This window comes from Homo sapiens, chromosome 2, assembly GCF_000001405.40.
Source record: "Homo sapiens chromosome 2, GRCh38.p14 Primary Assembly".
In the NCBI taxonomy this organism is placed as follows: Eukaryota; Metazoa; Chordata; class Mammalia; order Primates; family Hominidae; genus Homo; species Homo sapiens.
Genome location: NC_000002.12, coordinates 55,293,838 through 55,320,439, shown reverse-complemented (window position 1 = coordinate 55,320,439; position 26,602 = coordinate 55,293,838). Strand labels below are relative to the sequence as shown.

The following is a 26,602-nucleotide window of genomic DNA, read 5'->3' as shown; positions in this document are numbered from 1 at the left end:
TAATTTTTGTGTGTTTGCCAGTATTATATTTGCTAACTTATTTCTTTGCCCTTGTAAATTTTTTCCTGCTCTAAGATACCCTCTCAGCTATCTCTTCTATTCATTATAGACTATAGGAATTTTTTTTATTCCCAAAGACACCTGGAATAATCGGTAGAGCTTGTACAATTTAGTTTCTAAAGTGCTAAACTACAATAGTATTTCACATATATATGTGAAAAATGGTTCACCTCTTTGTGCTGAGATGGTATATAAATACATCAGTACTATCAGTATTCCTTTTTATTTTTTCTAGTACACATTTTTTCATCCTTTCTATTTGAACAAATGAACAAAAGAGAAGTATAAAATCATAACGCATCTTAAAGCATTTGTTTCCTCAGCTTCAATTTTATGGTATAATATGTGGGTCAAATCCTGACCTGCCTTTTACACAGTGACATGCAGTGTATATAACATAAAGCCAATAAAATTAATGTTATATTTACATATAGATATGATAAGAGTGATCTATTGTGATTCAGTTGTTAACTTTTTATGCATACTGCAGGGTAGACCAATTATGACCTTTTGTACATTAAAGTTTTATTTCTGTTTTCTGGAGGGTTCTTTGTTTATACTTTGCTGTTGTTGATTTTTTATGAAGTTTAATTTAGAAATAATCCTGAAAATATTAATGACAAGTATTTTAAAATATAATAATCATTGATTCACATAGTAATTCATTTGTTTAGCTATAAAATTGAAATATGGCCTTATGTACTGGAAAAACTGAAAATTTTATGTTTTGTTTGGAAATGCTCCAGGAGTCTTATAGTTGAAATAGAATTTTAATTAGTATTTTATATTGTGGGAAAAATAAGAAAATATCTGCGTTAGGTCTGTTGTGGATTGCAAAATGGAAACAAAAAATGGTTAAGATTGTTCCTGTAAACCTGCTTCCCTTTGAAATATTTGTGTTTGGAATATACTTAGTTTTGCACTATCTCTGGGACCACTACTCACTTAGGTATATATTTGCCTTTGGGTAAATTAGAAAAGTTAGACCTCCATGGTTGGACACAGCCCCATTTATTCTGGGCATTCTGGGAACCTTCAAGCAGTATTAAAACCATACAACTGACAATTCCTTTCTAGTTTTTGTGTTAATAAATATATTTAGAATGGGATATTTTATTTTTAGGATATTATAATGCAGACAAGACACAGGCACAATATTAAAGTTTTAATATCATTGCCTTCTTTCTGATAAATGTCTGTTTACAATTTGGGATGGGGGAAATGTTTTGGTTTTTTTTCTCTTTTAAGATTGTTGGGGCTTTTATGGATTATAATGCTAATAAATACTCATTGTATAAAATTCAGTATACTATAGAAACATATTTGATGTTGCCATTATTGTTAATATGTTTGGTTTTGGTTTTTGTTTTTCAAGAATGCTACACTGCAAGCAGAGAAGCAAGCGTTGAAAACTCAACTGAAGCAACTTGAGACACAGAACAATAATTTGCAGGCTCAGATTCTTGCACTTCAGAGGCAGACAGTGTCATTACAAGAACAGAATACCACTCTTCAAACACAGAATGCCAAGCTTCAGGTTGTAATATAATATTTTGGGAATATGCAACCAAACTCTTGAATTATGCTATTAAAATAAGGGAGGGTAAACATGGAAACATTGTTTCTTAGTGAATGAACTTAAAGATAAATGAAAATATTTTTATTTAGTGCCATGCCAAATTTTCACACATCAGTTTTTAATTTTAAATATTAATAAATTCAGTCAATACATCTGAATAAAGATAAATTATATTTATGGTCTTTCTACCATTTCATTAAGTCGATTGTAAAAAATTAGGTAGAAACCCTTGCTTTAGAGTATGCTTGCAGCATACTATTCCTTATTTCATTTGTATAGCTTTTTTTTGTCAGTTTAGTTACTGAAAAGCAGGACAACATGAGAATTTTGTCTTTAGACCTCTCCTAAGTTCAAAGGATCCATCTTTCACTTAACACCGCCAGTGTCTTTTAAAACAGAACAATCAGGTGGGGAAAAGTTCAACTCTGAAAGCTCTTAAAGAGCAGAAACAAGTTCCCTCTCCGAATCAAAGAATTCTTCTTTCTGTAACCCTTTTCTTTGACACTGATTTTGATTAACATCAACACTTTGATAAAGAAAATACTTATTTAATTTGGACTCTTGAAAAATTTCTAAAAGTAATTTTTCACTTCTATCAACTTCTATCACCAAATTCTAGAAATGATAAACTAGTACTTCAAATTCTATACATTTTCATTTGTAATATAATACAAATGGTTGCTAATCACCTTCATTTAAAATAAATTCAACCCAAAACATACAATACATATATATGTCTATATATACACACATACATATGTATATATACACTTCCAAAAGTCAAAATTAAATGATAGCCTTATTCTTTGGGAAGCTAAAATCCACGTCTTCCCAGTATAATGTAAATATGTGTGCTGTGATTCATTTAGAGCTTTCTTTAATTAACATTGTAATCTTGTATTTTGAAAAAGAACATGAACTGTTTTTCTTATGTCTGATAACAATATATATTCTTATAGGTTGAAAATTCCACCCTTAATTCCCAAAGTACCTCACTCATGAACCAGAATGCCCAACTCCTAATCCAGCAGTCTTCCTTAGAAAATGAAAATGAATCTGTAATCAAAGAGCGAGAAGACCTAAAATCTCTCTATGATTCTCTGATCAAAGATCATGAAAAGCTGGAACTTCTTCATGAACGTCAGGCTTCAGAGTATGAATCTCTTATCTCTAAACATGGAACTCTGAAGTCTGCCCACAAAAATCTTGAGGTGGAACATAGAGACCTTGAAGACCGGTAATTTATTATATTTTGTTGTACTGTGAATTTAAAATGAATTTTCTTCAAGTAGTATAATAAATTTTATATATTAAACACATCTAATGTTAGTTTACATAAGAAATTTATATAAATTTACATGTGTTTTAAATGATACTCATTACTCATTTCCTTCATTTCTAAAATTTCTTTTTTGTAAATATTATAAACCAAATGCCTTTTTTCCCCCCAGTTACAATCAGTTATTAAAACAGAAAGGACAGTTGGAAGATTTGGAAAAAATGCTCAAAGTAGAACAGGAAAAAATGCTGCTTGAAAATAAAAATCATGAAACAGTAGCTGCAGAATACAAGAAACTTTGTGGTGAAAATGATAGGTAATAAATATATATTATATATAACAAACATTTTATATAGAAAGTATATACATATATATGTGTATATATATGTTTTTTCAAAATTATGTATTATTTCTTACATCCAAACTATATACTGCCCCTTTGTAGTACCAAGCATAGTTTGAATTCGGAATTTTAAAAAATAGAATAGGCTGGGTGCAGTGGCTCACACCTGTAATTCCAGCACTTTGGGAGGCCGAGGCAGGTAGATCACCTGAGTCAGGAGTTTGAGACCAGCCTGACCAACATGGTGAAACCTCGTCTCTACTAAAAATACAAAAATTAGCCAGGCTTGGTGGCGTGCACCTGTAGTCCCAGCTACTTGGGTGGGTGAGACAGGAGAATTGCTTAAACCTGAGAGGCAAAGGTTGCAGTGAGTCGAGATCGCGCCACTGCACTCCAGTCTGGGCAACAGAGTAAGACTCCATCTCCAAAAAAAAAAGAGAGAGAGAGATAGGATCTTACTCTTTTGCCCAAGCTGAAGTTCAGTAGCATGATCATAGCTTACTGCAACCTCAAACTACTATGCTTAAGCAATCCTTCCACCTTAGCCCCTCAGGTAGCTGGAACTGCTGGCACACACCACCATGCCTAGCTAATTTTTAATTTTTTTATTTTAATATTTAGTTTTTGTAGAAATAGGGTCTCCTGTGATCCCCACGGTTGCTCACAAACTCCTGGCCTCAAGTGATCCTCCTGCTTCTACCTCCCAAAATGCTGGGATTACAGACATGGACCATCAATAACCAGCCAATACTTTCTTATTAATACTTGAAACTTTGAGTACCTATACTTCAACATATTTAAAGACTAAAAAATTCTTTTCCCAGTGTGGAGATGGGTGGATGAAAAAAGGAAATTAAAAATTATTTTCAAGGGAAAGGTACTCAGAATTTTAAAAAATCTAGTTTTTACAGAATAGAAACTGATTTTTGATAAGTTTAGTAACTTGTAAAACAGTCTTTTATTCTAAGTATGCCTTAATGTTATTTATATCATTTCATATTGTATAAATTACACCAAAAGCTATTAAGATAATCTAATTATATTTCTATGATTTCTAATTATAGGCTGAATCATACCTATAGTCAACTTTTAAAAGAGACTGAAGTTTTACAAACTGACCATAAAAATTTGAAAAGTCTTCTGAATAATTCCAAACTGGAACAAACAAGATTAGAAGCTGAATTTTCAAAACTAAAGGAACAATACCAACAATTGGATATTACATCAACCAAGCTGAATAACCAGTGTGAGGTGAGCTTAAAAAGTTTAATCACTGTGTCCTTCATTTAGGCACCAAGACATGCCTAAGAAATAAATGACTAGATTACAATGACAATACTAGTATATATTTAGTGGCATATATCTAAAAGAATTTGGTCTAGGATCACTGAAACTTACATGTAATTCAGAACAACTTCCCATATCATTAATTACAATATTTTAAAAACTATTAGCTTAAACTTATGTCCAAATTCTTTGAAAATTGTAAAATTATTCATTTAATGAAAAAATGTTTACACCTGGCATGAAATTATAAACCAATAGAAAAATTAGCTGGAAACAACATACAATTAATTACCCAACAAAGCTCAGAAAGTAATTCATTCTACCTATGATTTATAAAAGTCCAAATAAATTATAGGATGGTATACCTCCAGAATGGTAGAGTGAGAAATGTGGCAAATCAACTCCTTAAGAAACAATAAAATTGGACAGAACTGTCAAAAACAACCTTGTTAGGACTCTAGAACCCAACAAGGGCATATAGCAAATTGAGAAGCATTTATTAAAGCAAAACTATTCAACCCTGGGAAGGAACTGTGGTTGTCTGAGGCATTTTATCTTGGGGTTCTTCCCATTCCTCTTCTCCTTCCCTGGTTCCTGTGCCTGGTAGTTTTGACAGAGCACAGGGCAAGCTGTGAAAAACAGCAACTTTTCTACTGGAGAAAACTGACTTGATTTGGAACAGAGCATAGAAAAGCCCCATGCGTGGGAGAGCTGTCAAAGGTCAGCTCTTAGATAGCCTGAGGTTGAAATATTGGTTGGGGCAAGTAACAGACCAGTAAACCAGTCAAAAATTAAAGGATTTTCAAGAAATGAGTCAGCCTCAGTGGGTCTTCATAAGATTCCACATGTCACTGGTGGTCCAGAAAACTGTTCAAGAGAGACCAGAGAGGGCCCTAGCTATCTATGCATCCCTGGCTAATTCTCACAATTTGGGTCAAATGTTAATTATTGGCTGAGGGCTAAGTCATATAATGACATGATTTAGTGGAGGTGGAAAAAACTAATCTATAGTATAAAAGGTTGAGATAGTAGTTAACCTTGGTGGGAAGGGATAGTGGTTGGAAGATAGCACAGGTGTTTCTGGAATACAATTAATGTTCTGTTTCTTGATCCAGGTGCTAGTTTAACATATATGTTTACTTTGTGATAATTCATTGAGCTCTATATACACTTAAAATTTGTTCTTGGACCAGGCACGGTGGCTCATGCCTGTAATCCCAGCACTTTGGGAGGCCGAGGCGGGTGGATCATCTGAGGTCAGGAGTTCAAGACCAACCTGGCCAACATGGTGAAAACGCATCTCTACTAAATATACAAAAATTAGCCAGGCGTGGTGGCACATGCCTGTAATCCCAGCTACTCGGGAGGCTGAGGCAGGAGAATCGCTTGAACTTGGGGGACAGAGGTTGCAGTGAGCCGAGATCGCACCACTTCCCTCTAGCCTGGGCGAAAGAGCGAAACTCCATCTAACAAACAAACAAAAAAAATTGTTCTCTTTTCTTTATATATGCTTTATCAGTTGTCTATTGACACTGATAATGCTCTTTAACAACGAGACAACCTTAGTGGTAATGGACAGTAAACATTTCTTTTTGCCTAATGAGTCTGAGTTTGCTGAGCATCTATGCTAATCTACTCACTGATGTATGGGCCAGGGGTTTGCTCCTGCATCTGTAATTAGCTGGCATGTACGCTGAGGGCTGGCTGGTCTATGGTGGCCTCGGTGGGATAACCCTTCTCTGTTCCATGTGGTCTCTCCATCCTCCAGCAGGGCTCTGAGAGTCTGAGTGGAAGTCCACAGGCAACTTGAGGCCTAGACTTGGAACTGTTACACCATCACTTCCACCTCTTTCTCTTGGCCAAAAGCATTCCAAATTCAAGAAGAAGGAAAATAGATTCCACTTCTTTACGGGAAAAGTGAGAAGTCACATTGCAAGAGGGCATAGGTACAGGGAAGAAAATAAATGCATTCAGTTTTTTAATGAATCTACCACATATGTTATGTTTCAATTTAACAACATACAGATAAATAAAACCAACGTAGTATGATATTCACAGTTACAGATCTAGATGGTTGTTTATGATTATAGTATAATTCTCCCTGATTTTCTCTACCTTTTGAAATTTTTCAAAATGTTTATTTTTTGCGGGGGGCGGCCGGGGTGGTGGTGTAGGCAGGGCGGGTATGTGTTATTTGCTTTTGCTTTTTTAATACAGATCTCTGGGCTCTACTCGAGACCTGAATTTGAATGCTGGGGCCCACAAATCTACTCTACAAGGGACGCCAAATTTTTAGAATCACTACTTTGGGCCTTCTGCTAACTTCTGTTTGAACCTCTGGCCTAGCTAAGGCATATTTCCAGTTTCTACTAACTGCGTAGAAAAGGCCCAATGCTGCTGGCAGCCCACCTACTAGTAATGCCAGCTGTTAATACCAACTATTGACTAAATTACCCGATTTCCCTTGATCAAGCTACAAAAACTATACACAGACTTTTAAGGTTTCTTGAAAACCGTGAATGGATGCCAGGCGCGGTGGCTCACGCCTGTAATCCCAGTACTTTGGGAGGCCGAGGTGGGCAGATCACCTGAGGTTGGGAGTTAGAGACCAGCCTGACCAACATGGAGAAACCCCATCTTTACTAAAAATACAAAACTAGCTGGGTGTGGTGGCGCATGCCTGTAATCCCAGCTGCTCAGGAAGCTGAGACAGAATAGCTTGAAACTGGGAGGCGGAGGTTGCAGTGAGCCGAAATCATGCTATTGCACTCCAGCCTGGGCAACAAGAGTGAAACTCTGTCTCAAAAAAAGAAAACAGTAGATGGGGAAATTATGAGACATACTAAGTACTTAGTGTGTGCTACACACATGCTACTAGATACTTTACATATGCTAATTAATCCTTGCAACAGCCTTGTTGGGTGGGAGCTATCCTCATTTCATAGATCTGAGAACTTACTTGTCTAACATTTCATAGAAATAAAATATTAGATATTTGAATCTAGCTTTTGGACTATACTATAAGTTAAACAGTTTTAAAGACAGAAAGCAGTGTTTGGGGAGTAGATAATATATTATATATTAGACCCAGTGTTTGTGAAAATTAAGAAAATATTTATATAGAGAGAGAGACAGCATGTAACCCAGTGCTGTAGGTGTCATCACTAAAATAATCATGCTCTGATAAAAGTACAATCATCTAATTGTTCAAACAGTGGAACACTTAAATCTTTGTGTAGTACTTCATATTTTTCAGTTGATTTATGTTAAATGTAAATGTTGATTTTTTAAAAAATGTTTGTGTTTAAACAGTTGCTAAGCCAACTTAAAGGAAATTTAGAAGAAGAAAATCGGCATCTACTAGATCAAATTCAGACATTAATGCTACAGAACAGAACACTTTTGGAGCAGAATATGGAAAGCAAGGATCTTTTTCATGTTGAACAAAGACAGTACATGTAGGTACCAAATAATTTTGCACTCTGAAATATGTTACTCATGATTTTATCATTGCCATACCCAGTGGCAGAGAAAATTCATGCTAATTTTTACTGATTTTCAACAAATATTTTTGAGTGCTTATATTCCAGGCACTATTCTAATAATCAGAAATACTAACATGAAAACACATGCATCTTGCTCTTAAAGAATTAGTAGTCTAAAGTGAGAAATACAAATAAACATTTAAATACAGTAATTCTATAATGGAAGTATATGTAGGAGGCCATAGAAATATAGCACATATAGGGGCAGGAATATCTTAGTCTGGGAGAGGCAAGGTGAACTTTCCAAAGATGAGATTTGAGTGGAGATTTATAGGTTCGATAGGAATTTGCTTGAGGAGGCATGCCAGCCCAGGAGAGCTGCAATACAAAGTCATGGAAGTGTGATGAAAGTATGTTGTGGTGTGGTATAGGACCTAAAAATTAATTGTTCTTTCTGGAGCAAAATTGAGGAAAGGAGGGGTGCAATAGAGAAGTGGCTAAACAGTCAGGACCCAGTTTACAAAGGTTGTTCTATGCCATACCAAGGAGTTGAGATCAAGCTGCAAAACATGTGAAAGAGAGTTGACAGGGCTTAATTATTGGTAAGTTGTGTCTCCAGAAAGTTAAACAATCTGTTAAGACTCACATTTGGGCCTGTGCAGCCCAGTGGGTAGTCTTGGTATTACTACCCGATGATTCATCTTTACTCAATACATCTCTTCTCTTTGCCCCACAAATGAGAAGCATCACAGTAAAATAGAAATAGCACAGATGTTGAAATTAGACAGCTTCTAATTCATGTCCCAATTCATCCACTCACAGTGTGACCACAGACTAGTCATTTCTTTGATCATTAGTTTCTTCTTTAAAATAGAGATGACACTTACTTTCTAGATTATTCAAGGAGTGCATGAAGTAGTATGTCTGTGCCTCTCAGACTTGATGTACATAAACAGCCAGGGCACATGTGAAACCAGGATACATCATACATTTTTCTGAAGCACCAGTCTTACCAAAAAATTTCAGGCAGGGAACATTATTTCTTTATTAATACACAGGTGTATCATGGAACAAAGGCAGAATTTGTGTAAACTTTCAAAGTAAATGTAAAACCTCAAAGAAATTTCACATTTGTGGCTGGACAACTTGGGCTCCACCTTTAGTCCTTTTAGTCCTTTCTGGGGTATGTATTCCTTTACTTGCTTTCAAAAGAAGGCTTGTTTTAGGTTAAGAAGCTTTGCGTATATATAAAACTTTTGGCATTTGAGTCTCCTGTCCCTTAAGCAGAGGCATTATCCAAAGCTTTGTTGTCTTACTATTCTGACCCTTGGTGACTAATACATTTCCAGGTGAAAGTGCTTGTATCTAGATAGTTGACTTCCAAAGATTATGATCTATTCTGACTTAATGAATTTAAATTACAAATATCCATCTTGCATGTTAGATATTTCTAGCTAAATGCCTTTGTTACGTGGTCCTAGCAGGATGGCAGTGGACAGGTAGTATTGAGATTTTGGAGGTTCTTAATGATATTTCAACAAGTAAAAGGAAAAACGAACTGGGAACTCCAGCCTTGTTAACAACTTTTCAAATGTCAACTCTTCTGCAGGCCTCAGATCCAAGCAGTTGGGTGAATAATAAATGTAGGCTGTATGCTGTTTGTACTGTGGTATAACTGTTGGCAACATCTGTTCACAAGGCATCTTCTACAGAATCTCTCAAGTTAGTTCTTCCTAGTCTCCACCACTGTAATTCAGCCTTCCCTCTCAAATAGACTACCCCATTAGCTTCCTGAATGTTTTCTTATCTCCAATCTTTTTTTTTTTTCTTTTCAGTCTTGCTCTGTCAGCCAGGCTGGAGTGCAGTAGCACAATCTCAGCTCACTGCAAACTCCACTCCTGAGTTCAGGCTATTCTCCTGCCTCAGCCTTCCAAGTAGCTGGGACTACAGGCAAATGCTGCGGCATGCTGCTAATTTTTGTATTTTTTGTAAAAACAGAGTTTTGCCACATTGGCCAGGCTGGTCTCAAACTCCTGAGCTCAAGTGATCCACCTGCCTCCACCTCCCAAAGCACTAGAATTACAGGCCTGAGCCACCACGCCCTGCCTTATCTCCACTCTTTCCGATATATCCTATTCCATCATTGGGTTAAAGTACCTTAAACCAAGATTTCTTACCACTTTGTAATGAAACTTTCAATACTTCTGATTTCCTACTGAGCAGAATGTAAAACAAAAACTCTCCCTCACTACTTCCTCTCAGCCTATAACATTCAAGCTAAACATAACTTAGCATTTTTTAACTTCCTACAACTACACCAACATGTAATTTAGCATTCTTATCTTTCCTTTTCAGCCTATCTAATAATGGCCTTTTTCTTCATGGGGCTTTATTTCGTGATCTAAGATGGATATATTTACCTTCCTGTTGTACTTGCACAGTATTTTATTTTGGTACTGCTACTACCTTGGATTATATAGTCATTTTATATATATACACACACACAATATTATATGTTATTATATTAATTTATGGATATATCTTCTCTCCTATATTGTAAACAAAGCTATTTATTATTCATCTTCATATATACCTCATGCCTTCCTCATTGTAAATGATCACTAATGTTTCTGAAGTAAATAGTATTCTTTGGCATTGTGGGGTTTTCTTAGAGACAATACTTTGATGATCTTTGATGTTTCTCTGTATAGTAAATACTACTGAGAATATAACAATGAGACTAGGATGCGATGACTCATGCATTGCTGGAGTCAGGAAATGGTTCTCTACAAGTAAATCAAACCTAAGTAATTCTGCCGAAAAGAAAAATATTTGCATGAACATGTGTTTGCAGGATTATTTATTATATCTATAATTGTAAGCAAACTAAACAATGTTTTAATTTTTTGCTGATATAAATTGTAATAGGTCACCTTTCTTCCAAAAAGGAAAAAAAAATGTAAATTTTTAAAAAAGGAGAAACATGGAAAAATTCCCATTGTTAACTACCTGATGAAATCTTAGTTGCCAACCATGGTATCTGTATTTTTTTATGTTTTGGGGAGACATTAGATCACAGTCACCAAATAATTTAATATTCATAGCTGTACAAAATATGATGCCTGTCCTAAAAGGTAATTTTTATTTTATAGTGATAAGTTAAATGAATTAAGACGTCAGAAGGAGAAACTAGAAGAGAAAATTATGGATCAATACAAATTTTATGACCCATCTCCTCCTAGAAGGTACCATTAACCAAATTTTATGAATTCTTATTCTGAAAAAAAACACTAGGTTATTTCTAATATTGTGATGACTTCTACTTTTGTGAAGGATTTGTATGTTGAATTTTAAACTGATAACAATTTTTAAAATTCTGTTAGGAGAGGCAACTGGATTACTCTAAAAATGAGAAAATTGATAAAGTCTAAGAAAGATATTAATCGGGAACGCCAGAAATCTCTAACATTAACACCCACCCGCTCAGACTCCAGTGAAGGATTTCTTCAGCTCCCTCATCAAGACAGTCAAGATAGTTCTTCAGTAGGTTCAAACTCTTTAGAAGATGGCCAGACCTTGGGGACCAAGAAAAGCAGCAGTGAGTGCTTAAACTCTTTAAACATCGTATTGATTTAGAATCCTTTCTAAAGATTTTTTAAAACTTCAGTAGTCCTTTGGGGGAATAGTCTGATGAATGGCATTTCTTTTTAATTTAACATCATAAAATTAATTGTGTACTGCATTAGTGTACAGCCACACAATTTTCTGAGGTAAATCATACACAGATATACTATCATTTGGCCAGAGGGGTAAAATATTGCAGAAAGAAAGTTAAAATAAGAGCTGGAATACCTCTGCCACTTGCTATTTCTGTTAATATGGGCAAGCCTTTTACCTTTGCTTCATACTTCACAGGACAGTTACAAGGAGCAAGTTAGAAATATGAGATGTCATTTTCATAATTATATATAACTTAATCAGAATAATAAGGCATTCTATAATGAGGTTTCTGCTCATATACTTTGATGGTGTCACATTGGAACAAAGTTACATTTGGGGAAGCAAAAATAGGTATGAATTTGAAGGGGTGTTATTCAATGATTTAGAAATTACAGAAGGTTAAGAAAATTATTGAAGGATTGCTTGGTAAAGGATCTAAAATAGAGAGGTGCTGGCGGGCACGGTGGCACACCCCTGTAATCCCACCACTTTGGGGGACCGAGGTGGGCAGATCACCTGAGGTCAGGAGTTTGAGACCAGCATGACCAACATGGAGAAACCCCGTCTCTACTAAAAATACAAAATTAGCCAGACGTGGTGGCTCATGCCTGTAATCCCAGCTACTCGGGAGGCTGAGGCCGAGATTGCACCATTGCGCTCCAGCCTGGGCAACAAGAGTGAAACTCCATCTCAAAAAAAAAAAAAAAAAAGAAAGAAAGAAAAATACAAAATTAGCCCGTTGTAGTATTGTGCACCTATAATCCCAGCTACTCAGGAGGTTGAAGCAGGAGAATCACTTGAACCTGGGAGGCGAAGGTTTTCAGTGGGTCAAGATTGCACACTGCACTCCAGCCTGGGTGACACAGCAAGACCCCGTCTCAAAATAAAATAGAGATGTGGGGGCCAGTTACAGTGGCTCATGCATGTAATCCCTGCACTTTGAGAGGCCAAAGCAGGATCACATGAGGCCAGGAGTTCAAGACCAGCCTGGGCAACATAGTGAGACACTGTCTCTATTATTTAAAAAAAATTAGGCCGGGAACGGTGGCTCACGCCTGTAATCCCAGCACTTTGGATGGCGAGGCGGGCGGATCACCTGAGGTTGGGAGTTGGAGACCAGCCTGACCAACATGGAGAAACCCCGTCTCTACTAAAAATACAAAATTAGCCGGGCGTTGTGGTGCATGCCTATAATCCCAGCTACTTGGGAGGCTGAGGCAGGAGAGTCGCTTGAACCTGGGAGGCAGAGGCTGAGGCTGAGATTGCACCATTGCACTCCAGCCTGGGCAACAAGAGTGAAACTCTCTCTCAAAAAAAAAAAAAAAAATTAGGTGAAGAGATACATATTTGTTTATAAACTTATGATATAATTTTTATTACAAATTTAGAAGTACCGCATTATAATATGCTCTATACAATTATAACCTTTTAATTTCATTACTAGTATGCTTAAACAGTAAAACCAAAGTAAAAGCTTTGGAAGTATATTCCAAGAAAATCAGAAAATTTTTTTAAAGATGTCTAAGAAGTTGACTACTATCAAAGTTCTTACAAAATATGTGAACAGGATACTTTGAATCCTCTCACACTATCACTAATGTCACTAATTGAACACACACACACACAGACACATTCTATTCTTTTGAAATAGCAGGTAAATGCAGCTGCTGCTTCTCCCAGGGGTAGACTCTCCAAATGGGCAACTCTCAAAGCACTCAAAAAACTATTCACAGTGTTTTGGCTTAGGTGAATTATCTCTGGAAACATAGTATTTTAGGGTATAGGATATTAGGCATTAATTATGGGCTATAGGCCAGGCGCGGTGGCTCATGCCTGTAATCCCAGCACTTTGGGAGGCTGAGGCGGGCAGATCACTTGAGGTCAGGAGTTTAGGACCAGTCTGGCCAACATGGTGAAACTTCGTGTCTACTAAAAATCCAAAATTAGCCCAGTGTGGTGGCATGCACCAGCTACTCAGGAGGCTGAGGCAGGAGAATCGCTTGAACCTGGAAGGTGAAGATAGCAGTAAGCCAATATTGCACCACTGCACTCCAGCCTAGGTGACAGGGCGAGACTTTGTCTCAAAAAAATTAAATAAAATTATGGGATATATTTCAGAATGCAAGTATAGCAGCCTAAAAACTAGAATCCATAGGTAAGCAACGTAAAAAGTCATACACACTTATATATACACACACAGGTATATATATGTACATATACACACATATATGTATATGTACGTGTGTGTGTGTGTGTCAAGCAGTTTTATAATTCTATATCCCCACATAAAATTATTGTTACCCTGGGTCTTTTGCTGTCTGGTTTTGTCCACCAAGTAAATCTATACAAATCCTCCAAGTAGTTACTGTTTTAGACAGGTCATCAAGTTTTCTTTAAAAGATGGCAGATAACTTAATTTTATCTGTTATCTTTGGATATAAAATATCTGACATCTTACCAAATAAGAAATGGGGCTGGGCGCGGTGGCTCACACTTGTAATTCCAGCACTTTGGGAGGTTGAGGCAGGCAGATCACAAGGTCAAGAGATTGAGACCATCCTGGCCAACATGGTGAAACCCTGTCTCTACTAAAAATACAAAAAATTAGCTGGGCGTGGTGGCAGGTGCCTGTGGTCCCAGCCACTCAGGAGGCTGAGGCAGGAGAATGGCATGAACCCAGGAGGCAGAGCTTGCAGTGAGCTGAGATCACGCCACTGCACTCCAGCCTGCACGACAGGAGCGAGACTCCATCTCAAAAAAAACAAAAAAGAAAGAAATAGTAATAGGTATACTTAATTTTTTTTTTAAAGGAAGTTTTTTTTTTAAGAGATGGAGTCTTACTCTGTTGCCCAAGCTGGAGCGCAGTGGTGTAATGATAGCTCACCGCAGTCTTGAACTTCTGGACTCAAGGGATCCTCCTGCTTCAGCGTCATCCTCCCAAATAGCTGGGACTACAGGAAAACAGCACTGCACTGACAATTGTTATTTTATTTAATTGTTTTTTAGAGACAGGGTCTCACTTATTAAGCCCAGACTGGTCTCAAACTCCTGGCCCCAAGCTATTCTCCTGCCTTGGTCTCCCAAAGTGCTGGGATTACAGGCATGAACCACTGCCTGGCTTTAAAGGAAAAAAATGTCAATTCAGATATAAGCATACACAAGAGAGGCACAAAAGTCTTTTTTGAAGTCATCTTGTCTGTTTAGGTATAAATCTGTCATCATTTCATATTCTCTGCTGAAACATCCAGAATAAGAATCAGAAGGAAGTGATATTCTCCTTTCCTACAGTTGTTTAGTTTTAGAATTTTTAAAATAAACCCCAAACCCAACAAATACTAATGTTCCCTTAATTTCAGTATGTTTTGGGAAATGAACATTGTATGTATACAAACTCATTGCTATAAGAAGAATCATTTCTTCCTGACAAATATAAAACTCCTTTTATCCTGTCCATTTTGGAAGAGTATCTGTCAGTAAAGCAGTCCTTGGAAAAAAATTAAAAACAGAAAAAGAAAAGTAAACAAGACAACATGTGCATGCTGCAACCACTCAGCTTTGTTTTATCTAAGTGTCCATTTTTATATTGCTTTCAGTTCATTTCTTTTTAATCATTGAAAACAGCTGTGTTTACTAAGCTTGAAAAGAAATAGGTCAAACTAAAAGCTTAAATGAATTATGACTGCTCCTAATAGCAATCAAACAAGTTAAAGAGCTATATGTCCATTGCACTCTCTCTAATAAATGATACTTGTTAGTTTGTCAAAAGAGCTGTGATTATTTACACGATGACAGCAAACACTGAGAAAGAATGTAGTTATTAAATAGTGTATAATATGTTTTTAGGTCTTTATGCAAATTGTTTTTCCTAATTCCTAAATTACATTTCTAAAAAGATACAATAATTTTTATAGTTAAATCTTACTAAAATGTAGCTTAAGAATGGTTAGTGACTCTAGTGAACGTTTTTATTTTTGTTCTAATGACTCCTATATTTTAGTGATAATCCTAACTTTTATTCACAAAATCAAATTCCTTCAAAAAGCTCTTCAAAATATCTAAAAATGATATACTTTTCTCTCATTTTTGCTTGCTTTGGGGTACCTCCTTATTTTTTAGGTTTATCGGAGCTTATTGCTAATGCTTATTACTACTATCAAAATACTCTTTTTTTTCCCCTCTTTCCCCCAACGAATCTTTTGTAAAATGAACTTAATGTGATTGTTTATTTAATCTTTAGAAATACTCTGGTCAAAAGAATTTTTATTTCAGTGGTGCTGCTAAATAATGCACCAGAATCCAGTTTAAACCAAGAAGGAATTTATTTTCTTTACTGAAGTGTAATGAACTAATGAAAGGTTTTTTTGAGTTTTGTTTTGTTTTGTTGTTTTTGAGAGAGGGTCTCCTTCTGTCACCCAGGCTGGAGTGCAGTGGCGTGATCATAGCTCACTATAGCCTTGAACTCCTGGGCTCAAGCGATCCTCCTGCCTCACCCTCCAGAACAGCTAGGACTACAGGTGCTCACCACACATGGCTAATTTTTTGTAGGGATGGGTTCTCGCTCTGTTGCCCAGGCTGGTCTTGAACGCCTGGGCTCAAGCGATCCTCCTGCCTTGGCCTCCCAAAATCCTGGGATTACAGGCAGAAGCTACCATTCCTCGAAATCTTAAAGTTTTTAAGACTGTTTTAAACATCCCCTGGGCACCCTAATTTTTGTTGCTTTATATTAATAAAATACTGTGGTGGAATGTGCATTTTCCTAAGTTATTTTTGTTTTCCAAAATAAATATTTTAACTTATGTTTAAAAAGTTAAAATAGTTAAAATAGAGACTTCAAAAGCCTTGTACATTTTCATCATGTAGACTCTGTGAACCACCAGTAGCCTTCATTTTAAAGGTTTACCTTTACGACTTAACTAGGAAAGTTGATCCCTGCATAAATAATTCTAATCAGTTCCTGTTTTTATAGGACTGTAACCAATCCAAGCTTTAAAAGTATATGTTCCTCAGGCCGGGCGTGGTGGCTCACGCCTGTAATCCCAGCACTTTGGGAGGCTGAGGTGGGCGGATCACCTGAGGTTGGGAGTGCGAGACCAGCCTGACCAACATGGAGAAACCCTGTCTCTACTAAAAATACAAAATTAGCCAGGCATGTTGGCACATGCCTGTAATTCCAGCTACTAGGGAGGCTGAGGCAGGAGAATCGCAGGCGGAGGTTGCAGTGAGCCGAGATCGTGCCATTGCACTCCAGCCTGGGCAACAAGAGCAAAACTCCGTCTCAAAAAAAAAAAAAAAAAAGTATATGTTCCTCATCATTGTCTTCAGTGCTTTTCCAAGTATTTTAAAATATCAAAGTACATATTTCATATTTCATTATCACTCAGCAGCATGAGAATAATAGCCTTAATATAGCATACATAGCTAAAACTCAAACATTCATTTCTGTCCTTAATTTCAACATTTAACTCCCATCTGTTCTTCTCCCTTTTTTCTTTCATCTCCCTGTTTCTGTTTTTCCTCATGCTCTGACATTAAAGTGGTTGCACTGAAAAGACTGCCCTTTTTGAGGAACAGACCGAAGGATAAAGACAAAATGAAGGCCTGCTACCGTCGTTCCATGTGTAAGACTTTATGACAGTTCAGCTTCTTTCAACTGACTACACTGGCTTTCATTACTAATTTTTCACTAACCTTTCTCTGGACTGTGCCAATTTCCTTATTTTGCAGAGGTCAGTCTTCCTCTAATATAAGGAGCTAGAAGAATTTTTTTTTTCAAGTGGCACTGAATTTGCATTATGTATATGTCCACTGATACATATACGTGCATATTTCTAGTCATACATGTAACTTACTCGTAAATTTCCAGTGCTTTCTAAAAATTGGCAGGAAAAAAACCCTTTATTTTATATGCCATAGAGATTTTTTCCCAAAGAAGTTTACTTAAGAAGAATATAACAAAATGTTTAGCATTAGAAGTTAATTTCCTTTAATGAACCAGATTAATTAAATAAATAAAGTGGCCAAAAACCCTTGAAAATGCTTGTCATTCTTTAAATAATAATATTCTGGATTTTCTTTTTTTATGTGGCATGGGTAGTTACATAATCACATTAAGTGTCTGTCACTTTAGATATCATCTCTTTCAGGTTTTTATTGAATGGTATACTTATTGAGTCATAAAATGAATAATTTCTTCAGTAACCTGCTCTGACCAAGGACTTTCATTTTCAATAATGATGCTATATAAGAACTGCTCTCCATCTTACCTTTATTCATTCCATTTTTGTCACCACAAAACCACATTGTGAAGGCTGCTAATTAAAGTTTTAGCACATCGCTGCACAATCGCATGGCAGTCGTACTTAGTAAAATTCCTTTCTCTGTCTTTTAAAGGGGGTGGAGGTGGGATAAAAGTATTTATTGAAATTTATCAGCCTTTGGCCTACTCATTTCATTCAGCTGAATGCATGTCATAATTTAAATGACCATGTGGTTATAATTTTTTATGTCCATTTGCATTAATTCATAGACAAAAACCACAGTATTTGTACTACAAAATAGAAATAAGAACAAATACATTAACCATGCTGATTCATTTGCTTTCATTTGCATCCCAGCCATGAATGACCTGGTGCAGTCCATGGTCCTAGCAGGACAGTGGACAGGTAGTACTGAGAATTTGGAGGTTCCTGATGATATTTCAACGGGTAAAAGGAGAAAAGAATTGGGAGCTATGGCCTTCTCTACTACAGCCATCAACTTTTCAACTGTCAACTCTTCTGCAGGCTTCAGATCCAAGCAGTTGGTTAATAATAAAGGTATAGGCTGTCTGCTATTTGCACTGTGGTGTAATTGTTGGCAACAAGAATTTTAATTTGACTTTTCCCTGTGTACTTTTTAAAAAGCAGCAACCTGAAATAATTATCAAAACATGATCTGTATTGGATTTGGAGGAACTTTCAAATCATTTTAAAAATATAAAACGTTATACAAATAACTAAAATCTTTTCCAGGCCTCCTTTCATAATAAACAGCTAATGAATTAACAAGAAAACGAGAAGTAAACCAGGTAAAGAGTGATAAAAGAAGGCAATGCTAGTTTTCTAAAAACTAAAAGCACTACAACTTCCAACAGAACTACCTAGAACAACCCAGGCTCTTGTTTTGCTTTGCAGGGTCAGAGGGGAGATTGTTTCATTGCTTTTGGTGTTTTCCCTAAGCAAGTCAACTCTAATGAGAGTTGTCATTTTTCTTATTCCTAGTTCCAGTTTCTAGTTGAGTCTATGAAATATGTTAAGTCAATCTGTATTATACATGATTGAAAAACAATTTCCATATTCTATGTAAATAAAATTTTATAATGGTTTTTTATTACAAAAATATCTTTATATCCATTTTGCTATTTTATGTAGATACTACATCCTTTGAAGACATAAGTCCACAAGGTGTTAGTGATGATTCTAGTACGGGATCAAGAGTTCATGGTAAGATAATGAACCTTATTTAGAGAGTACACATTAAATACAGAATGGGAATGCTAGGACTCTTGCCTTTAATAGGTGAATGCGTCATTGCCAGCAAGCATGTTTTCTCTATCCTGCATCTCATAGTTACCTCTACCATTTCTTCAAACCTAATACTCCCTTCTGCCTCTTTTAAGATAATTGCTTCATCTAAATGTTCTCTGTTTTAGCCAAGGTCATTTATAAAGTATGCCTGCACAGTCTTCAAAGGTAATTTTCTTACCATTTTTGTATAAGATTAAAGTTATAAGAGTTGCATTTTACCATTGGTTTAAAATGCCAATTTAAAATACATATTAGTTTAAAATATTAAAAATATCTGTTTTAAAGGATGAACTTTAAGAAACCAATTTTTGGGCCAGGGACAGTGGCTCACGCCTGTAATCCTAGCACTTTGGGAGGCCACGGCATGCGGATCACCTGAGGTCAGGAGTTCGAGACCAGCCTGGCCAACATGGAGAAACCCCATCTCTACTAAAAATACAAAAGTTAGCTGGGTGTGGTGGCAGGCACCTGTAATCCCAGCTACTTGGGAGGCTGAGGCAGGAGAATCGCTTGAACCCAGGAGGCGGAGGTTGCAGTGAGCCAAGATTGTGTCATTGCACTCCAGCCTGGGCGACAGAGTGAGACTCTGACTCAAAAAGAAACCAGTTTTTGGGCAATGTTGAGTATTTCAGATATTTTCCATTTCTGTCTGGAAAATCATATCTCACCAAACTATTGGCAATAAGTGGATAACATGTTAAAGGAATTTTAATGTAAACAGGGTTTTAAGAGTTAGCATAGGGCAGTGTTAATTATACAGTTGTTACCCTTGTTACAGATAGGAATACAGGACATTAACTGTATAGATGCTTGTATTCCTCCTCTTCTTGACATCTCTGCAATGTGCAGAGTTCCTTGTCTGATCTGTTGTAGGTGACCCAATCAATAGCATTTTGGGGGATCTGGGGGGATATGTCATTCTATTTAACTAAAACACTCCTGGCATATCCATCTAGAACTCATTTTCAAATCTAAATATGCACTTTATCCTCCTCTTTGAATCTCAACTATTGTTTCAGAAGTGTCCTATTCTAAAGTGTCTCAATGAACTATCTGGAAATTTGCTTTCTAATCTGGGCATGCTCATCTTGTGAAAGTATGCATGATTGCTTCCTCAAAGCATTCTGTAATCAGAATGTAAAAGCTCATCAGCATCATCAGCTAGAAGTTTTATCACACTGTCTCCTGGTTTTTTCATTTAGCTTCAAGACCAGCCAGCCTTGATAGTGGCAGAACATCCACTAGCAATAGCAATAATAATGCTTCACTACATGAAGTCAAAGGTATGCTGTAGGTAAATTTATTAATGCGCTCTATCCATTTCCAGTATTTAAAGGTGGGAGATGGGATGAAGTTTCTGGGGTAAAGCATGAAATCCAAATCATCTATGTTTGGAACATAGTTGTTTGGAACATTTTATACTTTTCACATTGTAATACAAATGTATTTCAATGTATACAAATGTAAAAACAGGAGCAGTTATTTAGTTTCACTTTTTCATCTTCATAGATAAAAGTCTTATAGTAATATTTATACTTCAAAATTATCTATATGTCCTTATTTTACTGACATTTTGTCTTTGACATGAAAATGATTGTCCTTCATTTTCTTATGACGCATGGACACTCACATTACTCATATTTTAGAAATATGTTTGGCTTAATTTATCCACAAAATAAGGGGAAGGATTTTGTGTTTAATTTGAGAAACAACTATTTGTGTATATATATATTGAACAAGAACTATATGAATGCATTTGGCTCATATAAGGAATTATTTCAAGATTTTTTTTCTTAATTTTTAAATGTGCATTCCAAGGTGAGGTATTTAAGTAAATGTCTGGAAACCTTGACTGATACCTTTTTCTTAAAGATATACTGCCTACTCAGATTCTGGAAGTTGTTTGTTTGTTTGTTTTGAGACGGAGTCTCACTCTGTCGCCCAGGCTGGAGTGCAGTGGTGTGATCTCAGCTCACTGTAACCTCCACCTCCCAGGTTCAAGCCATTCTCCTGTCTCAACCTCCCAAGTAGCTGGAACGGCAGGTGCCAACGACCACCACACCCAGCTAATTTTTTGTATTTTTAGTGGAGACAGGGTTTCACCATGTTAACCAGGCTGGTCTTGAACTCCTGACCTCAGGTGATCCACCTGCCTTGGCCTCCCAAAGTGCTGGGATTACAGGTGTGAGCCACCTTGCCCGGCCTGGAGGGTTTTTTGTTTTTTTGTGTTTTTTTTTTTTTTTTTTTTGAGACGGGTTCTCGCTGTGTCACCCAGGCTGAGTGCAGTGGTACTATCTCAAATCACTGCAACTTCTGCCTCCCAGACTCAAGCGATCCTACCACGTCAGCCTCCCACGTAACTGGGACTACAGAGACCCATGCCACCATGCCCAGCTAGTTTTTTTGTATTTTTGTTAGAGACAGGGTTTCTAACATGTTGCCCAGGCTTGTCTCGAACTCCTGTGCTCAAGTGAGGCACCTCATCCAGCCTCTGAATTATTTGACCAATATATCATAGTTACTCTCTGTACTCCAGAATTGTCAGGTTACAAGGAATGCATTTGTTTTGTTCCTTTTTGGATTATAAAATTATTTTGTCTCAGTTGTAATTTTATTTTATCAATTAATGCTATGACATTATTACAGTGATCTGAAATACCTAATTTTGAGGTGGGTTTCTTTTTTTAATTTTTATCATGTTTTTCAGATTTCTTTGTTCCTTTCCCACTCCCACTACTTCATTTGACTAGCCTTAAAAGAAATAAATTATTTAATTAAAAATGTTTTTACATCCAGTAGAAAAATGTAGTCTGAAAATAGGATTTTTTTTTTTCTGATTTGAAAATTTAAGAAACTCTTACTTTTGTAAAATGTTACATAACTTGAGCCAAATTCTTTCGTGGCCCACTTTACTCTCTGTGACTGGGAAACAATGGAAAGTTGCATTTTCTGTTTTGATGTACAGTTTGTTCGTGATCAAAACAAATCCGTACTCTTAAGGAACACCATAGATTTGAGGGAGTTTAATTCTAGAACTAGCAAATTTTCATTTTATATAGTTGCTTAATGTCAACTGAGTCTTTTAAGGTTATATAGGCACCATATCAACAGTGGACAGCAAGAACAATAAGATGATCAAGACATTTAAAAAAGAATAAAGCACTACATATTTGATTGTATACTTTTACTGAAATGTTGTAAGTAATTGCTTCATATCTTTATTTAACTTTCCTTATGTGTATGCTCTTTAAATTTTTTTAAATGTTTAAAGTTATCCATGCAGGATGAACAGAGAAGCCTTCAAGTAGTAATGAGGACTTCTTAGATAAGCAAATAATTAAAATAGAATTTTCTGCATTTAGAACAGTTTTTGGTCTTAACATACTGAAATAATATAAAATTCACCTAATGAGCCAGGTGCGGTGGCTCACACCTGTAATCCCAGCACTTTGTGAGGCCGAGGTGGGCAGATCACCTGAGGTCAGGAGTTACAGACCAACCTGGCCAACATGGTGAAGCCCCGTCTCTACTAAAAGTACAAAAATTAGCCTGGCATGGGGGCGCATGCCTGTAATCCCAGCTACTTGGGAGGCAGAGGCAAGAGAATCACTTGAACCCAGGAGGCGGGGGTTGTAGTGAGCTGAGATCGTGCCACTGCATTCCAGCCTGGGTGACACAGTGAGACCCCATCTCAAAAAAAAAAAATACACACATATGTATATTTATATATAATATATATTTATATATAATATATATTATATATATTTATATATAATATATAAATTTATATATTATATATTATATATTTATATATAATTATATATAAATTATATATATTATATATAATATATATAAAAATACACATTAGATGAAATATATATATATATTTTGTCTAATCATGTTCTTATCCTAAATTGTGAGGCATTTTATTTTATTTATTTTTATTGTTGAGACAGAGTCTCAGGCCAGAGTGCAGTGGCGCGATCTCTGCTCACTGCAACCTCCACCCCCCCAGTATCAAGCAATTCTCCTGCCTCAGCCTCCTGAGTAGCTGGGACTACAGGCGTGCACCAGCACGCCTGGCAAATTTTTTGTATTTTTAGTAGAGACGGGGTTTCTCCATATTGGCCACGCTGGTCTCCAACTCCTGACCTCGTGATCCGCCTGCTTCGGCCTTCCAAAGTGTTGGGATTACAGGCGTGAGCCACCACGCCTGGCCTGCAAGGCATTTTATAACTATTTGAACCTGAATTTTAAAAAATATATTATTCACTTATTTATTCATTCATTTACTCAAAAAATATATTGAATGCTTTGTATGAGGCTCTGTTTAGGCTCTGAGTATGATAGTAAAAGCAAGTCTTTGCCCTTATGGAGCTTACAATAGTTGTCAGTTTGACAAAATAAGGAAGCAGGCTATGGCAGACAATTGTTAGACTGATAAAAGATTGACATGGTTTACTAAGCATTTCTAAATAAAGCTTGAAAGTAAATTTGGCTGTTCATATAATTAGCACACAGTCAACAAATGTTATTACTCATGAAGTATTAATCTCAATTCTATTATTGAAATCTCAACACCCCATTTACTCCAAAAGCAGGTGCAGTTAATAACCAAAGCAGGCCACAAAGCCACAGCAGTGGAGAATTTAGCCTGCTTCATGACCATGAGGCTTGGTCCAGCAGTGGTAGCAGTCCAATCCAGTACTTGAAAAGACAGACCAGATCAAGCCCAGTGCTCCAGCACAAAATATCTGAAACACTGGAGAGTCGACATCACAAGATCAAAACTGGTTCCCCTGGAAGTGAAGTTGTTACTCTACAACAGTTTTTGGAAGAAAGCAATAAGCTTACCTCAGTACAGGTTAGTTTTATCTATGATGACCTTAATTTAGATGAACACCACAAGTTAAATTTCTGTAATTGAACTTCAGAGCTTTTTTTTTTTGGTAAGTTAAGGAGTATTAAGAGGTACCACAATTTTATATTGCACAGTCTGCTAAATCAGGAAAGTAAAAACATGGCACTATATTCACTAATCTGCTTTGAATTTTTTTTTAAACAGATAAAGTCCTCAAGTCAAGAGAATCTTTTAGATGAAGTAATGAAAAGTTTGTCTGTCTCTTCTGACTTTTTGGGAAAAGACAAACCAGTTAGCTGTGGTCTGGCCAGGTCAGTAAGTGGAAAAACCCCAGGGGACTTCTATGATAGACGGACAACTAAGCCTGAGTTTTTGAGACCTGGTCCTCGAAAAACTGAAGATACCTACTTCATTAGTTCTGCGGGAAAACCTACACCAGGCACTCAAGGAAAAATAAAATTAGTAAAAGAATCTTCTCTGTCACGACAATCAAAAGATAGTAACCCTTATGCAACTTTACCTCGTGCAAGCAGCGTGATCTCAACTGCCGAAGGAACTACACGAAGGACAAGCATCCATGATTTTTTGACCAAGGACAGTAGACTGCCTATATCAGTTGATTCACCACCAGCTGCTGCTGACAGCAACACCACTGCAGCATCTAGTGAGTACCATTTACACCAGTGGTCCTCTCATATACTTGACATCCCAACACATACTATAGGTTCTTGTGCCCAAAATGATTTAGCTATAGACATGCCTGAGCCTCTATATGCCCAGGCTAGAAACTCAAGAACAGGAAGGTCACATTTTCTAAACCAAACTTTTGCCACTATTAGGATGCCTAGTGATGCATTCGGAATGTTGGCAAAAGATAGCATAGGACCATTTACTGTGGCCCATTCATCTCAGCCATTCTTATCCCTGAATACAGAATTAGTTAGTAACATAAGTGGGTTACCTCCTAGGCCAGTTATCAGAATAACTGACCAGGCTTCTGCCTCTTTGGATAAACCTGCACAGAAAGAAAATGAACAGTTTTCTGATCATCAGAACCCTAGTAACAGTAACCTACAGTTTTCTATAAATAGCAACAATCTTGTCACTTCTGCATGCCTCTATCCTGATGACACAGAAGCTGCATTGTTGGTTTCTGAGGATAATCAAACTGTTTGGTATGAATATGGTTGTATATGATCAAAACTGCACAATATAATATATTGATGTTATTTGATATACACTGCTTCTCTAATATGATTTGAAAAGTTGCTGTTAACAAAATATCATTTGGCTAGGTTTTTATTTTTTATTTAAAATTGTTGCACAGTGTTCAGCTGTACATGATGGCATGTATATTAATGTGAATGTGTAACCACACCAAAACCTGCATGAAATATTAATTACTTTGTCCATTTTCTGCATGCCTTTAAAAACCTTAACCATACATGCTCCTCCTTCACATTTTTTGTTGCCTGATAAGATTGTTACTTTGATATCCAGAAGCATGTTAAAACAGTTGCATGCTCTCTTACCAAGAAGACATTTCCAAGTCATATTTGCTTTGTTGCTTCTGGAAAAAAATGTTCATTTCCTCCCTCCCTTCCTCCTCTTCCCACCCCTCACTTGCTCTGACTGTCACTCCTTTTTTTCTTCCAGAATGTGTACTTTATATTACATATGTACAGTATCAGTAGGGAAAATGTAAAAAGATGTTGTTTTCTTTTGTCATTTAATTAGGCCATCTGTCCTGTTTTAAAGAAATAGTTAATAATTCAACACTTTATATAACAAATATTAACTAATACCCATATTTATAAAACATTTTTCAGATTTAAAAGATTGTTAATACTTATAAACTTAGTGTTATTCTTAGAAAACCCCATCAAATTTAAATGTGATTTACACAGTGACTAGGAACATTTGTATTTATTGTTTCTTCTCTGCACTTTTCATCATCTGATAAATACAAGAGCTCAAGTAACTGTCTTTTCTTCAAGATGGCTTCTATACTTGAAATCAGTTAATACAATAGTTTTTCCAGTTCTTTTTTTATAGAGAGTCAAAGAGAAATAAACCAAATTATATTCATTGTGTTGGAAATTTGTATTTTTACTTCTAATCAAAAAGGGTAGCAAGTTTACAAAGTGGTAAAAATTGTTACTTCTATAATTAATCTATTATTAAATTATACATGTATATCCTTAAAACAGAATTTTTTTTAAATGAATAATCACACTAAAATGTAAAATTAGAACTTGTAACCATTTAAACAAGTATGTTTCTAGTAGAACAAATTTTAGAACTAAGAATAAATACACTCTTTAGCTTAAAAAAAAAAAAAAAAGTAAGAAAATATTTGTTAACTTTGACTCCAGTGCAAAGAACTTTTATTTTTGTGTTCACAGCACTTTTAAAGCAAATTA

At 36.2% G+C, this 26,602-nt stretch overlaps 1 protein-coding gene and 1 long non-coding RNA gene across 5 annotated transcripts in view, besides 3 other annotated features; one reads left to right on the top strand and one right to left on the bottom strand.

Annotated features, from left to right (window-relative positions):
* LOC124907768 (uncharacterized) overlaps positions 1-11,608 on the bottom strand; it is a 31,478-nt gene extending 19,870 nt beyond the window's left edge. The window contains exons 1-2 of the long non-coding RNA XR_007086323.1: positions 11,513-11,608; positions 6,189-6,452 (exon numbers count right to left, since the gene is read on the bottom strand). This is a non-coding gene — a long non-coding RNA (uncharacterized LOC124907768). The remainder of the gene's footprint in view (positions 1-6,188; positions 6,453-11,512) is intronic.
* The window catches only part of CCDC88A (coiled-coil domain containing 88A), a 132,015-nt gene that overhangs the window by 99,417 nt on the left and 5,996 nt on the right, over positions 1-26,602 (top strand). For 2 of the 4 annotated variants that reach the window (NM_001135597.2, NM_001365480.1), the window contains exons 19-31: positions 1,436-1,597; positions 2,599-2,876; positions 3,091-3,234; positions 4,326-4,512; positions 7,861-8,006; positions 11,186-11,278; positions 11,417-11,631; positions 17,288-17,371; positions 18,368-18,568; positions 19,163-19,234; positions 20,521-20,601; positions 23,917-24,182; positions 24,384-24,843. In NM_001135597.2, the coding sequence (NP_001129069.1) occupies positions 1,436-1,597; positions 2,599-2,876; positions 3,091-3,234; positions 4,326-4,512; positions 7,861-8,006; positions 11,186-11,278; positions 11,417-11,631; positions 17,288-17,371; positions 18,368-18,568; positions 19,163-19,234; positions 20,521-20,601; positions 23,917-24,182; positions 24,384-24,843 (2,389 nt within the window). The remainder of the gene's footprint in view (positions 1-1,435; positions 1,598-2,598; positions 2,877-3,090; positions 3,235-4,325; positions 4,513-7,860; positions 8,007-11,185; positions 11,279-11,416; positions 11,632-17,287; positions 17,372-18,367; positions 18,569-19,162; positions 19,235-20,520; positions 20,602-23,916; positions 24,183-24,383; positions 24,844-26,602) is intronic. The other 2 variants (NM_001254943.2, NM_018084.5) reach the window with 2 other exon arrangements.
* Positions 16,938-17,438: an enhancer, noted in NCBI's record as "H3K4me1 hESC enhancer chr2:55530138-55530638 (GRCh37/hg19 assembly coordinates)". NCBI's record gives its function as "activates a minimal SCP1, AML or CMV promoter by ChIP-STARR-seq in naive H9 embryonic stem cells {active_cell/tissue: H9 hESC(naive)}" and the evidence as "EXISTENCE:reporter gene assay evidence [ECO:0000049][PMID:30033119]".
* Positions 17,832-17,941: an enhancer, noted in NCBI's record as "active region_15780". NCBI's record gives its function as "activates an Ori minimal core promoter by ATAC-STARR-seq in GM12878 lymphoblastoid cells {active_cell/tissue: GM12878}" and the evidence as "EXISTENCE:reporter gene assay evidence [ECO:0000049][PMID:35858748]".
* Positions 25,613-25,907: a silencer, noted in NCBI's record as "tiled region #7699; HepG2 Repressive non-DNase unmatched - State 15:Elon, and K562 Repressive non-DNase unmatched - State 14:Gen5'". NCBI's record gives its function as "represses a minimal TATA promoter and a strong SV40 promoter by Sharpr-MPRA in HepG2 and K562 cells {active_cell/tissue: HepG2 | K562}" and the evidence as "EXISTENCE:reporter gene assay evidence [ECO:0000049][PMID:27701403]".